This window comes from Homo sapiens, chromosome 15 (genome assembly GCF_000001405.40).
Source record: "Homo sapiens chromosome 15, GRCh38.p14 Primary Assembly".
Taxonomy (NCBI): domain Eukaryota; kingdom Metazoa; phylum Chordata; class Mammalia; order Primates; family Hominidae; genus Homo; species Homo sapiens.
The window spans coordinates 49,883,587-49,898,842 of NC_000015.10; the positions used below are offsets into that span (position 1 = coordinate 49,883,587).

General features: G+C 39.8%; 1 protein-coding gene across 45 annotated transcripts in view; it reads right to left on the bottom strand.

The window, feature by feature from the left end:
• ATP8B4 (ATPase phospholipid transporting 8B4 (putative)) overlaps positions 1–15,256 on the bottom strand; it is a 323,617-nt gene that overhangs the window by 25,349 nt on the left and 283,012 nt on the right. For 43 of the 45 annotated variants that reach the window (NR_073597.2, NR_073596.2, NR_073598.2 and 40 more), the window contains 2 exons: positions 14,482–14,665; positions 13,706–13,929 (listed from right to left, as the gene is read on the bottom strand). Coding sequence is in view for 42 of the 45 variants with exons in the window: in XM_011522056.4 (XP_011520358.3) it covers positions 13,706–13,929; positions 14,482–14,665 (408 nt within the window). In the remaining 3 variants the exon portion in view is untranslated. Of the gene's footprint in view, positions 1–2,907; positions 5,696–13,705; positions 13,930–14,481; positions 14,666–15,256 lie in introns of those variants that run through there. The other 2 variants (XM_047433099.1, XM_047433100.1) reach the window with 2 other exon arrangements.

A 15,256-nucleotide genomic window follows, 5' to 3' on the forward strand; every position in this document is an offset into this window, starting at 1 on the left:
TAAGGTAGGTACTATTGATAGTTCCCAGTTTATACATGGGAAAACCGAGGCCTATCAAGGTTAGGAGATTGCTCAATGTCATACCTTAAATGCAAAGGTTTTCTCCATGATGTGCTTATTTCACATTGCATGCCTGTATCAAAACATCTCATGTACCCAATAAATACATATACCTACTATGTACCCACAATTTTTTTAAATTATATTAAAAAAAAACCCAAAGGGGAAAAAAAGGTTTTCCAAGTATAGTTCAGAACCTTTTAGGGGATCCATAATGTCAAAACTATTTTCACAATAATACAAAAAGTTATGTATTTACCCTTTCACCCCATTCTCTCATGAGTCTGTATGATATGTGACATCACAGCTGGTTGAATGCAGATGATATAGAACCCAGGTGTCTTCTATTATGTTAACTAGTTTTACAAAAGTGTAAAACAATGGCATTCTTCTCATTAACTTGTTTTTGTTTTGGAAAATACAATCATTTTGTAAACACATCATGGGTTCACTATTTTTTAACAAATTAATAAAAGTATTTAGATTTTTTTCTTCATTTTCATTCCTAAGATAATAAATATTGATAGTGGGGTCCTGAGATCACAAAGTTTGAGAACGCCAGCCAAGCAAGTGTCAGAGCTAACTCCAAGCCTATGAACCTTAGTGCCCACAACACTGACCACTACATGAAACCACCTCTCTCAATCAGTGGTGTCATTTGGAAAGCTTCCTTGGCCTGGTACAGTGGCTCACACCTGTAATCCCAACACTTTGGGGGTCGAGGCTAGTGGATCACTTGAGCTCAGGAGTTCAAGACCAGCCTTGGCAACATGGTGAAACTTGTCTCTACCAAAAATACAAAAAATTGGCTGGTCATGATGGTGTGCATCTTGTGATCCCAGCTACTTGAGAGGCTGAGGCAGGAGAATCACTTGAACGTGGGAGGCAGAGGCTGCAGTGAGCCGAGATCATACCACTGCACTCCAGCCTGGGAGACAGAAGTGAAATCCTGTCTCCAAAAAAAAAGAAAAAAAAAAAAAAAAAAGAAAGTTTCCTTGAAGGCTTTTTCCCTCACCTTGTTTAATGTAATTGAGAGCATACACAATTTTATATGCTATTTTTTGGCATTTAAAACAGGGGTCCCCAACAGCCTATAACAGTCCATAGCCTGTTATGAACCAGGCCTCACAGCAGGTGAGTGGCAGGCAAGCGAGCCTGAGCTCCACCTCCTGTCAGATGAGCAGCCGCATAAGATTATCATAGGAGCATGAACCCTGTTGTGAACTGTGCATATGCCAGTTCTATGCCTGATGATCTGAGGTGGAACAGTCTCATCCCAAAACCACCCCCACTGGTCTGTGGAAAATTGTCTTCCATGAAACATCCCTGGTACCAAAAAGATTGGGGACCACTGATTTAAAATAACAACATTAGCATTGACCTGGGTTAAAACCCTCTAATGGTTTTCCATTTTACTTGGAATGAATCCAGACTCCCTATTCGTCATGTCCTAAGAGCCCTTCCTGGTCCCCTGCCTGCCAGACTCTTCAACTTCACCTCACAACATTCTCACCCTCCCTCACCTAGCTGAGGCTTCGCTGATGGGCTTTCTCCAACTTATCTGGCTCATTCCTGCCTCAGGACATTTGCACTGGCTGTACCCTCTGCCTGGAACACTTTAATCCCAAGGTATTCATATGGAAGTTTCCTCTGAACACTCAGGTCACAACTCCAGTGTCACCTCACCCTCTCAGTGAGACCTTTTACATTACCAAGTTCTTTCTTAACAATTCTGATATTATCTTACTGATTTATGTCTTTATTATCTGTCTTCATCCCACTAGAATATAATCTCCATGAAAACAGAAATTTACTCACAACTATAATTTTAATGCCCAGAGCAGGATCTAGCCATTGGTAGATACTCTACAAATATTTGTTGACTGTAGGTACTCTATAAATACTTGTTGAATTAATTATTTTACAACTTTTTAGTAAATGCTACATATTTAACTTTCTACTAGGCATTTTCCCATAGATGCACCATAGATTCAAACTTAATATATCAAGACCAGAGCTCATCCTCATATTACCTTAACCAGACGCCCCTCCTGGGTTCCCTATACCAGTATCTGATACCATCACATCCACCCCAGCATCCAAATCAGAAATCTGAGATTTGTCCCTCTCCCCAACACCCCATATCAAATCACTCCCCAGATACCTGATGGCTTGTGTTCCTGCCCAAGCTATTCTTCACTTCTGGAACTTTCCTCCTGTTGTCTCCTCTGCTGGGATGTCCATCCTCTTACTTCTCATCTGCTTCAATATGTTTGATCCTGGAAGGGTCAGCATGGGAGGGGGAGTGGGCAGGTCTTCCAGGAAGCCTTTCTGAGTCCTGGCCACTCCGTGCCTCCATGAGTGGCTTCTGGACCACTCATCGGTAGTTCCATGATGCCCCTATACCTCACTGCTTCTTAACTACTGACTTACAATTATTTATATGCTGGTTCCTAGCCCTGTCTCACTAGACTGTGAGCTACTTGAGAGCGGGTAATCTAACTCACCCGTGGGGCCCAAGAACCAAACTCAGAACCTGCTCAATAAAAGGAAGCTGGTGTCTTAAGGGTAAGGGAGTCGGCAGACAGAACTGTGTGAATTTGAGTAGGATACTCAATCTCTCTGTGTCTTGGTTTCCTAGGCTATAAAATGAGGATTACAGGGAGGCTGTGAGCATTCAATGAAATGAGGTAAATGCCACGACAGCACCTGAAAGACACTGCTCAATAAGTGAGCACCATATTATGGAAGGAAGAAAGGAGGGAGGATGGGGGGAGCATGCAGGGATCCAAGCTTCAAGAGATGTGTTTAATGGGTAAATAAAAAGGTACATTTTCATGCTAATCATATTTTTATAAAAATAGAATTCTTTATTGAGACAATTAACCATAGATATTTATTTCTATAATAAACTATGGTAGCCATGAGATCAATATAACATCAGAACAAGATTTAAAGAAAAATGAGTACCTTGGTACAATTACTTTCTTCATGAATACTTAATTATTTCAATCACTGTTCACTCTAATTCTGGTTTTTATCTCAGGCTCTACCAAAATGTGTTAACCTGAGTCCTTTACCTTAGAAACCAACTTTGCCATATGGGCATTGGCTTAGCACAGTTTAGACTTCAGGGTCTTTCACAGAAATTAAGGCCACAAGCAATTTTTTTTTTTTTTTTGAGACAGAGTTTCACTCTTTTGCCCAGACTGGAGTGCAGTGGCACAATCTCGGCTCACTGCAGCCTCTGCCCCCTGGGTTCAAGCGATTCTCCTGCCTCAGCCTCCCGAGTAGCTGGGATTACAGGTGCCTGCCACCATGCCTGGCTAATTTTTGTATTTTTAGTATAGACGGGGTTTTGCCACGTTGGCCAGGCTGGTCTTGAACTCCTGGCCTCAGGTGATCCACCTGCCTTGACCTCCCAAAGTGCTGGGATTACAAGCATAAACCACCGTTCCTGGCCAAGCAATGTTTCTTCTACAACAGGTTTCTGTTGAAGAATCCTTGCAAGAGATCTCCAGCTACTCAAATAGTTATTCTAGTAAATGCCCCACTTCTACTTGTGGTCCTTAGATCCCCTTGGAAAAATTTTAAGGCCCCCTTCTGGTGACTAGGACTAGCTGAGAGGGGCACATGAGCCCAGATCAACCTCCCTGTTTCTCCCCTTCCAAGCATGCTCGGGCACTCTACCACCTCTTCTTCCCTCCCAACCCACCCAACACAGGTTGACCAGATGCCCTGAAGAGAGGGGCAGGGTGGAGGTTGAGGGATGATGACTCTTTTCAGATTTCTAGGTCGACACTCTGATTTTGGGTGACTCAAATTGTTTATATAAAAGGAGTCCCACAAAAAACCATTTTCCCTAGGGCACCCATACTCACAGGGGAAGCCATGGCACCTCTGCCTCCAAAATATTTGTTCCCTATCTCCAATACTCTGAACAAGAGAGAAAAGCCATGCTACTACAAGATGTCACAAGTCTGTTTAAAATCCTATAAGTGTCTCTTCACAGATCAGAAAAAAAAAAAACAGGGAGGAGAGTTCATTTTTCCAACTTCACTGTTTTTTCTATTTAAGGAAAGCTCCTCGCTCCCTTCTTTATGGGAGCAATTTATCAGCCTTATCAACCATTTTACATAGAGTTAAAAATACTCCAGCTACAAATTACAATCTAAAAACAGCTTGGAGAACACAAAACCTATGATTTATAGAATGACACATTTAAATAAACCTTAATAAAGTTCTTAAACAGCTGCAAAGGGCTTTCTCTGCTCTTTCTGCTCGACCACTGGCTGAGCTCCTTGTTCAAATAACAGGATGAACTTACTACCTCTTTGGAGATGTGTATCCCCCTTTTCCTATGTGTTGCAGAGGAAACCTATCTAATGACCTTTTGGGGGCCTTAAAAAACATTTGTCATTTAAAGAAAACACATTGTGGAATAAATATGAGGTGCTCAGCCTCAGCACATCTGTTATTGATTTGTGTAATTAGTAAAAACCCGCTCGCAGCATCCAGGAGGAGTGACCCAGGCCTGAGCACTCGTCCAGTCCTGGACTTTCCCCAGAGCACATCTGGAAGGTGAGGGGGAGCAGAGCTACCATGCCAGGTGGAGACGGGCTCACAGGTAACCAAATCCATGAAGTCATCAAAGCCTTAAGATTAGTCGCAGTCTTTCACGTCACTTTCCAAACTTTTTGTTGCTTTATTATACTGTTTGACAGAACTAAAGTTTTTCCAGCCTTGACAAGATAATTGCTTCCATATCACAGTAGAATTGAAGAAAAAAAAAATACACAGCCCTGTATCTCACTGACAATGATAAATTGTCATCAGATAATATCATCTCACAAGTACACAGTACCAGTAGTTGCATAATTTTAAGCATGAATTTTCTAAATAGGACTTCAACCAATTTTTTTTATTTGGCTGTATCCTTGGTAGGGGACAGTTCCTCTTTACGAAAAGTCCTGAAGGCATAGGGTGCTTTTAAAATAAGTTACAGGTATAAATTGTGAATCCAAACCCACAGTGGATGCCACAAAACTCATGTGGGTTTCAATAATAGATTGGGATAAGGCATGTCCTTAAAAAGAATCCATGATTCAGTTTAGAGACCTAGTCTCCTTTATCCAAACCTCTCTGTTCCAGAAATCTGGCTGGAAATCTCATTAGAACAAATTATATTTAATTTGTTTCTCAGTGGCAGTTGAGTTGGAGCGTTTGCCAGCAGAAGGTGTCCTCAAGCTTCCAGATGATTCTACAAACAGTTCGCCTAGGGACAGGCCTGTCCCTCCCACAGCTCTAAGCTATGACACACCCCGCAAGTCATGAGGTCTCTTTCAATAGAGAGCTCATTTCCTCCACATAGTCATATTGAACTGAGTGTTTCTGGATATTTCTCCTTTAGATTCCAAATAAAGCAAACATTTTCTGATTAGGGGTTGAGGGAAGACAGTATTTTTAAAAAAAAAAAGGATATGGCCATTAGCTTTTCCAAATTTATGACAACCCAAGAGGTCACTTATCATCAGGTAGAGTAGGCAGAGCGCTGAAGTGGGAGCCAGGAGACTTGGTTCCGGTCCTAGCCTTGCCTACCGCTGATCCTCAGCTCCTGCAGGATCAGGATCCTCCTCTGTAAAACGAGGGACTGGACTCAATGTCCCTGAAATTCTCTGCCAGAGTAAAGATTCTAGGTTCAACAAGATACATACTTTTTGTTCTTTGTTCCCGCTGCTTCTCCCAGGAAATTCCACCCAACATAGGAAACAAAAGGGAGTCTGGTCCGCGGGTTCTTTTCACTGTACATCTCAAGCCAATCACAACATAAGCAACGTACTGAAGTTAACCAGAGGAAAGTCCATAAACCAACGACAACCCAGACTACATCACATCACCATCCATCACAGATGTCCTAAGTGCCACCATCCCACAGGCAGTAATGCTTCCACCCATTGGCCTTCTTGAAGCCTTGCACACCACAGCTGGATTTGCCTACACATGTGCCCCAGCCCACCTACCAGGATGGGGCATTGGCTGGAATCTGCTGGAGCTCTCATCAGATAATAATTGCCTGGATAAAATCCACCAGGCCCCAAAGGCAGACTGATGTAGTAAAGAAACAGCACATGTCACTTCATTAAATAATTAAGCTGGTGTTTTAGAAAGTCAACATTGTGTCTTAAAAAACACAATCTGTTTACATTTGGTCAGATGTTTTCAGCTGAAGAAAGGATTACTTCCAAACAATCTGTTGAGAGGTACACGGAAGAATATTTAGGCGCTTATGAATCATGCTGTGATTTGACAGGGTTGGCCCCAAGACATGGCTTATCCATAGTAAATTTATTCCAAAAGAAATTTTTGGTAGAGAAATAAAAGAAAGGAGATTATGGGATTTTTCAACATTTGTTATGCATTTATGAAAATAAAATCTTTCCCAGACTGTAGGTTCCTTGAGGGTAGGAACAGCATCCCTTTGATTCACTCTGTTGTTCCTGGGGGGCCATCAGAGCACCTGGCCCTAAATTGGCACCCAGTTTATTGTTGGTAAATGAGCAAGCATTCAGACCACAGGTTCTGCATTGGACAATATGTGTGAGAGTCTCACTGCTGTCAGGACTGGACAGAGAAAGTGATGGAAGATTAGGCCTACCCAGGAATGGCCTCTAAAGAGATGCTGGCTATTACCAAATCTGCCAGGCCTTGGAGTTATTACTACTGGCTCCATTTCACTATGGAGCTTTCAATCCTGTTAAAGCAGTTTAGGAGAGGGGTGGCAGGGAGTGGGAAGACCTCAGACAGCTGACTTTCTTTAAAAGACTGGAAGTAAGTGGCTATCTAAGGGGCTTTAGGGGCTAAGAAAGTCTCATCACCCAACACATGGTGTTGGAGGCCAAAGCCACATGTTGGGTGATCTTAACGGGGAAGTGAGAGAGTATGACAGTGAAACTGTCCCCCATTCAAAAATTCTCATTCTCTGTAGTTCTTACAAATATGTTGTTTTCTTTTCACTTGCCTCATTTACAGCATATTGTCCTTAGAAAAACAGGACTAAAAAAAAGCCAAAACATTTTTCAGTTAAACCTGTTGCTAATCAGGCCCTTCCAGTGAAAAACAGGGAATGGAAAAGAGACAATGATCCCTGCCAATCCCAATTCCAAATCCGAGCCACCTTCACAGCCAGTCTTCAATACCGCGAACATGCCAGGCCACTCCCATGTGGGGTGTGGCTGGGGAACACCAGAGTTTCCAGCTTTACAGTGGTAGAACACCTGCTCTAGAACAGGCTTCTTGCTATAGACAATACTGCTAAGTAAGCTCCCCATTCAATGCCATGAAGTTTTTGAAAGGTATTTCTCAATGAGTTGGTGTTAAACAGAATTTTAGAAATTACAAGATTTTAGCTAATTACAGGTCAGTTGGAAAGTGTATGAGGGGAGGGATGTCCTCCTTTTACTCCAAAGTCTCATACCCTTCTGCAAATCAAGCCCCAAATCCCTGAAGGGAGCTAGAATTTCAGGCCTTCAGATCTCCACTTAATTTTTAAAATATTCATACACTTGCTTGCAGACTAATTGTGCCTAAGTCATCCCAGATCCTCCTAAGTCATCCTAGATCCTCACACATTTCTCCTTTCCCCATGCTTTCAAATTACCTTTAAATACAAGTTTGTTTGTTTGTTGTTTGTTTGCTTTGAGATGGAGTCTCGCTCCATCACCCAGGCTGGAATGCAGTGGTGTGATCTCAGCTCACTGCAACCTCCACCTCCCAGGTTCAAGCGATTCTCCTACCTCAGCCTCCTAAGTAGCTGGGATTACAGGCACGCTCCACCCCGTCCAGCTATTTTTTGTATTTTTAGTAGAGACGAAGTTTTACTACGTTGGCCAGGCTGGTCTCAAACTCCTGACCTCAAGCGATCTGCCCACCTTGGCCTCCCAAAGTGCTAGGATTGCAGGTGCGAGCCACTGCACCCAACTAAATACAATATTTGTATTAGACTGATTTATGCACTTATTTATTTCCCAATGAGAAAAACCAGTTCTAGGTGGGCAAGAGTTTGTCCTTTTCATTATTTTGTTTTCTCTTCCCAAGATAGCAAGCAAGTCTTTCTATTAGCAAGTTGACAATGTCATGTGACTCACAGATGAGGAAGACAGAAATTATTAAATTAAAAACAACATCTTGGGCCGGGCACAGTGGCTCATGCCTGTAATCCCAGCATTTTGAGGGGTCGAGGCAGGGGGATCACGAGGTCAGGAGATTGAGACCATCCTGGCTAACATGGTGAAACCCTGTCTCTACTAAAAAAACACAAAAATTAGTTGGGCATGATGGCACGTGCCTGTAGTCCCAGGTACTTGGGAGGCTGAGGCAGGAGAATCGTGTGAACCTGGGAGGTGGAGCTTGCAGTGAGCCGAGATCACACCACCGCACTCCAGCTTGGCAACAGAGCAAGACTCACCTAAAAAAAAAAAAAAAAAATCTTAAAAGTCTATAGACTCAGAATAGTTAAATAATTTATAATCTGGGTTTCAGAATGTCATTAAGAAAAATAACATGTTTGAAGAATGTAAATCAAGAGAACTTTCTTAAAGTGTGACAAGTTGTGTTTTTAATAAGAAAGCTATAAAAGAATACGATTGTAGTAGTATAAAAGTTGAGATATATTCACATACAAATATTTTTATAAGATGAAAAAAACTTTGAGAATAATGGAAAAGACTTTGCAGAAGTTTAAACGTAAACCCTTATTTTGATATATAAAATGGGTATTTTGTCCCTTGGACTAGAGTTAATTATTAAAATGGAAGTTTTTGTAAAGGGAGAAACATAAAGAGCCTGTTCCTATGGGGACAATATTCTTGTTATCATTTTGCTCTTTGTACATCTTATTGTTTTCAAAACACTAGAACTGGGATAAATAGTGAGGCAATGTCAAGTTTTGAAATTGTTGCTATAGAAGCATCCATTCCACAATGTCCCAAAGTGAGCTCCATATGGCACCTGTTCTACAGGACATTATATGTGTTGCTTAGAAAAAGCAGCGTTCCATGCAAAATGAGTTTGGGTAATAATACCAAATCTCATTGACTCTAAAGCACAATTGATTGTAAGAAATACCATTATCAATGCCAAAATTCAACCAAATGGGGACTCTAACATTCCCATAAAGCTAGGGCAACAAAGAGCTACATCCTCAGTGTAAAAGAGAAATCTTCATGCAGAAAGGGACTGCAAGGAAACTAGCCTACGTCAACTTTGCACTAACTAAAGGGAGAGACAAAATCTCTCTTGAAAACTTGGACCACAAGCTGGTATTCACTAGAATCTGCAATCTGAATTCAAAAAATCTTTGGAAAGAGAAAGATCTTAGGTTGGCAGCAGTGCCCACAGGGAACTGGATGAAGTCACACAAATGCTCTCTGGAAAACCTGACTTCAATTCAGATCAAAGGATATTGTAATATACTTTTGATTGTAAAGACATATCCAAGTCTTAGAGATGTCAGATGTGAGAATACATGTATATGCATCTTGGAGTCAAATATAGTAGTGTTTCTTTACATTTGGACTTGTCAGAGCCTACAATTCACAGACTAATGTGAACTGTAAATTTTTAAGCCTGAAGAGAGAAGATGGGGAGGTGAGAGTGGGAAGAAATAGAATTTACTGGACAGTAGAACTCCCAAATATTATTATTTAGAAAATATCGAACAAAGAGCTGATATAGACTAAGAGGTGGAAACAACCCAAATGTCCATAGATGGATACATGGATAAACAAAATGTAGTATATACATACAATGTAACACAATTCAGCCTTAAAAAGAGGAAAAATACTGCCACATGCTACAACATGGATGGATCTTGAGGACACTATGCTAAGTGAAATAAGCATGTCACAAAAAGACAAACACTATATGATTCCATTTATATGAGGTATCTAAAGTAGGAAAACTCATAGAAAAAGAAAGTAGAGTGGTGGTTGCCAGGGACTAGGGGAAATGCAGAGTTGTTATTGAGTGGATATAAAGTTTCAGTTTTGCAGAAAGAAAAAGTTTTAGAGATCTGTTACATAACAATGTGTACATAGTTAGCACTACCGAACTCTACACTTAAAAGTAGTTAAGTTGGTAAATTTTATGTGTTTTTTACCATAATTAAGCTAATATAGACCATGATTGTAAAACCTACTTCATATGGTTATTGTAACTACTGAGCTAATAAAAGTAAAACATTTAGACAATGCCTGAAACATAGTAAGTACTATTTAAATGTTAGGTATAATTATAACTTGTTTGTATCCCTGCTTGTTAGTGTCAACAATATCATGATTCTACAAAGAAGCTGACCCCACAGCATTGATGCCACTACATGGGTACTGTCACTGACTGGCTGTCCTCTCCTCTCCAACAGGTGATAAGCAATTACTACTTGTCACTCTCCTGGAAAGCCTATCTACTTCTCTGACAAGTCTGGATATAAAACCTTAAACCTTCCACAACATGAACAGCTAATAAAATTTGTCAGATCACACTTTGCCATGCCCATCAAGAGCACACTTCTTAACATACCCAGGACATAAGGTCCAGGAGGCACCACGGCCTGACACAGAGCAAAGGCTTAGTGAATATTTATTAAATGAGTGAAATCCTTAAATAGTGGGACCAAAGTACCCTTTCCAGTATAAGCTTTGGTCCCAATGTGATAAGGTCATCGTACAAATCGGGGCAAAGTAGAGAGCAGTCCAGGACTCCTATTCAGAGGCCCAATTATTTTTATATGGTGATTGCTCCTCTGCGTAAAAAAAGGTATCCTGCCCTATTTAAATCAGACAAGAACCAGCCAAAACACCTGGAAAATCCACTCTATGTCTTTCCTAGAATGAAAGGATGTATAAATAACTAAGAAATGTATCACCTGTAGCCCAATTAACTATTGTATCATATTAATATTAACACAACTGAGAAAAACAGCATTCCATATTCTGAAATCAGTTCCATAACCGCATTTAGATCTTAAGACCCTGAGCCCCTTTGCCACAGTGGTGATCAGGCTGCACACGTTTAAACAGACCAGATCCAGAGCCTGCAGGGATGGCCCCTGGGGTGGGTAGAGTAAGTGGCAACTGTGTGAGTGACTGGAGGCACGTCGGAATGGCTCTCTTTGCTGCACCTGCCTCAAGCATGGGAAAGGACTATAGAAACACCCACCAACATGAAATGACTAGAAGGCCTTCTATATGGCAGGTAACATTCAAGATTTTATTACAGATGTATCGATGAGTTAGATGTACTTCTTTTCCTCAAGGAGCTAATGGTTAAGCTAGGTAAGATATAATAGACTGGCTAAACTGGGGAAAGAAATCCTGTACCATGAACAGACATCCCTTTTCCACCTGGCCCTGTCTTAGCGCAGGTAAAATATGCCTCAGGGACAGTGGTCTGACAAGAGGGCTGAAAGGATTTTAAATCCTCTGGAAAAATTCAACTGGGGGAGATCAGCTGTTGGCTTAACTGGCCCCTCTGCTTTAGAAAAGATGAATACGGTCTAATGTTGTTGACAAAACAAAAAGTCAGCAGATTGGACTTTACTCTGGTCTGGGTTCAAGGAAGCAGAACTTGGGATACTCTTCTAGGTTTTCTAGCCCAGTGGTTCTCAAAGTACAGTTCTAGGGGCTAGAGCCCAGTGGGCAGTGCTTTAACCAGCCCTCCAGGTGATTCCTATGCACGCTAAAGCTTGAGAACCACTGGTCCAACCCAATTCACTGGCTTAAGAAAGAACACAGATGGTCAACTGGGACTAACAATAGATTCAAAATGAAGATTGTGCAATTAACTAGAGATTTCAGTGTAAAAAAACAAAAGGGAAAGGAAGGGACACAGAAAAGAAACATGTTAGTTAAATCAAACATTTCAGAAACCTAATCACAGACAGGTGGTGTGCCTTACAGCTGGGTTCAACCATCAAGCTGCTCATGTCTTTGGGGCAATTATTGTTCTCCCTTGTTGTTCTCTTTTAAAATGCAAATACCAGTGAAAGAATAAAAATTCTAGTTGCTTAATATCTGGCTCTGACCGATTTTTATCAGAACCCAGAAAATGACCTAAATGTAGAGGTTAGAAGTCATTGAACGTTAGTTTCAACTTCACAGTTTTAACAGACAACTTAGTGGAACAGTTGCCTATTCAAGCTTTGTGCGTCTGCAAATACAAATCACTGACTACTCTTCTGTGTTCTAAGAGTTTTTAAATGGGGTTTGTCCCTTCATAGTCTTGAGATTCTTCAGCCTTAAGCCTTTGGAATATGAAAATTAGATCTCTTAGAAACACCCGTTAGCAGATGGTCTTGCTTTGTTCTTATGTGGAAGGAAAATCAACAGACTAGGAAGCCACAGGCCACATTCCAATGCTTGTCTTTGTTGGACAAAGGAGGAATTATGAGCATGCAAATAACCCCAGCCCCACGCCTACTCTGAAGTAGCACTAAGATAACTTCTACTTCTGAGTAGCTAAAATCAAGACTCTGCTTTACTTCAACTGTCAAGAGATTAACAAAAAAAAGGCAAAAATATCAACATAATCTACTCTTAGTTTAGGGCATGTTATCCTAAAAAGAGAAAATTAGGAATGGGAACAGGTATGCCTCACTTTAAGAAATCTTAACTTCCCAGAAGAAGGAAAAAATGTTGAAAATGTATTTTCATTGTAAAAAGGAATTCACTAATCTCCCTTAGCACATGTAAGAAGAAGATGCCAAGATTTCATTTATCCTCAGTCTTTTTGAATAAAATGATTTTTTAAAAATCACCTTCATGCATATCGTTGAATCCATGTCATTGATTAAACCCAAAGAAGGGAAGAACAATTGAATAAATCTCTGAGTGTTATGGTTACCATTTCCTTTTCAAGGACAATCTTTTTCTTGTATTGTTGTTCAAAATGTCAATGCCATATCTACATTTAAGTTTTTGGTAACAAATTTTTTAAATTTATAAGTATATTTAAATGATATAGACATTACATTTTACAGTTGATTCATTGGGTCAAAACTTTTCTGATATTGAAGATGTGTGGTTAAATAACTATCCTTTAATGTATAAGAAGCGATATAAAAATAGAATCCTAATTTATACATTTGCTAATTTTCTTTCTTCCTACCAGCATTATCTATAGATCAACTTTTAGCTGATGAATTGCTGTCTAAACAGCTTTGATGTCAGAGTACCAATCAGTCCAGATACATTTAGTGTGTTGGATAAGAAACCATCTTCCCAGTAAAGATACCTCAACATTTCTTATTAGTGATTTGCAGACTTCTGTTCTAAATTAAAACTCTACAACAAGCTTACCTGTCATCATACCAAAAACATTTCAACAAAAACTAAAGTATGCATGGAAGGAGTACTCACTGGTTGACTATCTAAATAAGAAAATAAATAAATAAAATTCCAGCTAGATACATATTCTTCTTGGGTACAAAGCTCAAGTCAACTATCAATTACATAATTGTAATACTATTACTTGAATCAGCCATTAAAAAATGCTCTGAATTTATTAGTAAAGAGCTATGAAGAAGAGTCATTTGTAATATCATACAAAAACAAACAAACAAACAAACAAAAAAAAACATGCTTTTACCAACCTGGGCTGAGAAACCACAGAAGAAACCAAACCAGAAATGCACAAGTGTAAATGCAAAATTCTTATAGAAGAAATAGCATAAGAATTTGCACATTCGGAAATAAGACCACCTTCCATGAACAAGGAGAAGCCTTTGGAGATATCTAAACTGTGCAAATGAATAGTCGCTGGCTAAGACTGCTTGCAATCCTTCCTGGCCGCTGATGCCAACACCAATGTGAGCACCTACAAAGGAAAGAGGAACACTGTCACTCCCAAAACAAAGCCACGATCTCTTTTGGAAACTTGTCATTCCTCTTTTATTTACGGAAAACTTACAGCCATTGCAATTATAATTTTTCACATATATTATCTGATGAAACACTTATGATAGATATTTCTCTTAGTTTTACAAAAGAGAAAATCAGCCTCAGAAAAGTTCAGTGACTTACAGAAGTTTTTACAATTTGTAAGTGGCAAAGATGGGGTTAAAGTCACATGTTACAAATGTGGGTCTGGTGTTCTTTCCTCTACACCGTAGCTACTTACTTCCTCAAATAGTAAAAGGTGAACGACGTCTTTTTCTAGCCTAAAAATACACAAATGGTTTATTTAAAGACAAAGAAATTTTGTTACGAATACTAATAATGGTGGTAGCATTGGACCCAGAAGTATCATTCATTTTAGAATCACTGGCAAAATTAAATTTTAATGCAATCTAGTGATTATATATTGCCAAATGCTGAAACTGAGGACCCCATGTATGCAGCATACCCCATTGAGCAAATATCCTCTTACTTTTAATCATGCTGACATCATTGGCTCCATCACCAATGGCCAAAGTAACAGCATTTCTGTACTTCTTCACCAGCTCTACCACTTGGGCTTTCTGGAGTGGAGTGACCCTGCAGCAAATTACAGTCTTACACATGCAAGCAAGTTCTAGGAGATCATTCTTGACATCACTTTCTAGGGCATGAGCCTGTATGATTAAAAATAAAATTCAAACAAGAACAGGAAACAATAAATGAGGGTTGAGAAACAAGACAAATGTTTTGTTTGCTAAAACCATTTCATTTGTTTGCTAAACCATTTCATTCACTCCAAAAAGTCATTGTTGATTCAGAATCACACAAGCAACAAGAACCAAAGAAATGAGTATTGAACTCCTAAGCAAATTTTAAAATACTACTAAGGAATTTTAAAATAAAAATAAACAAAACTGCCATTTATATGTCTTCCTTGATATCATGCTGCACTGGAGAGAGAGAGTTAAATGCTGGAGAAGTTCTAGAAACCATTAAAATTGATGAAAACAAAAGACAGAACCTATCTACCAGCTCACCAAGTTTAGAATGAACTACAAATGATGATGTTTTGTTTATTCTATCTGATGGGCTTTTTGTTTCTTTGCACTGTTGTTTTGTATATTTAGTTTGTTGTGATTGTTAATGTGCAGGCAAAATGAAAAGCAGATGATCTGGGGATTGTCCCTTGAAGAACATAGTGACTGAAACCCAGAGAGGCCTGTGCAAAAGGGGGGCACGCAAGCTGCGTCACAGACAGGGTTCCT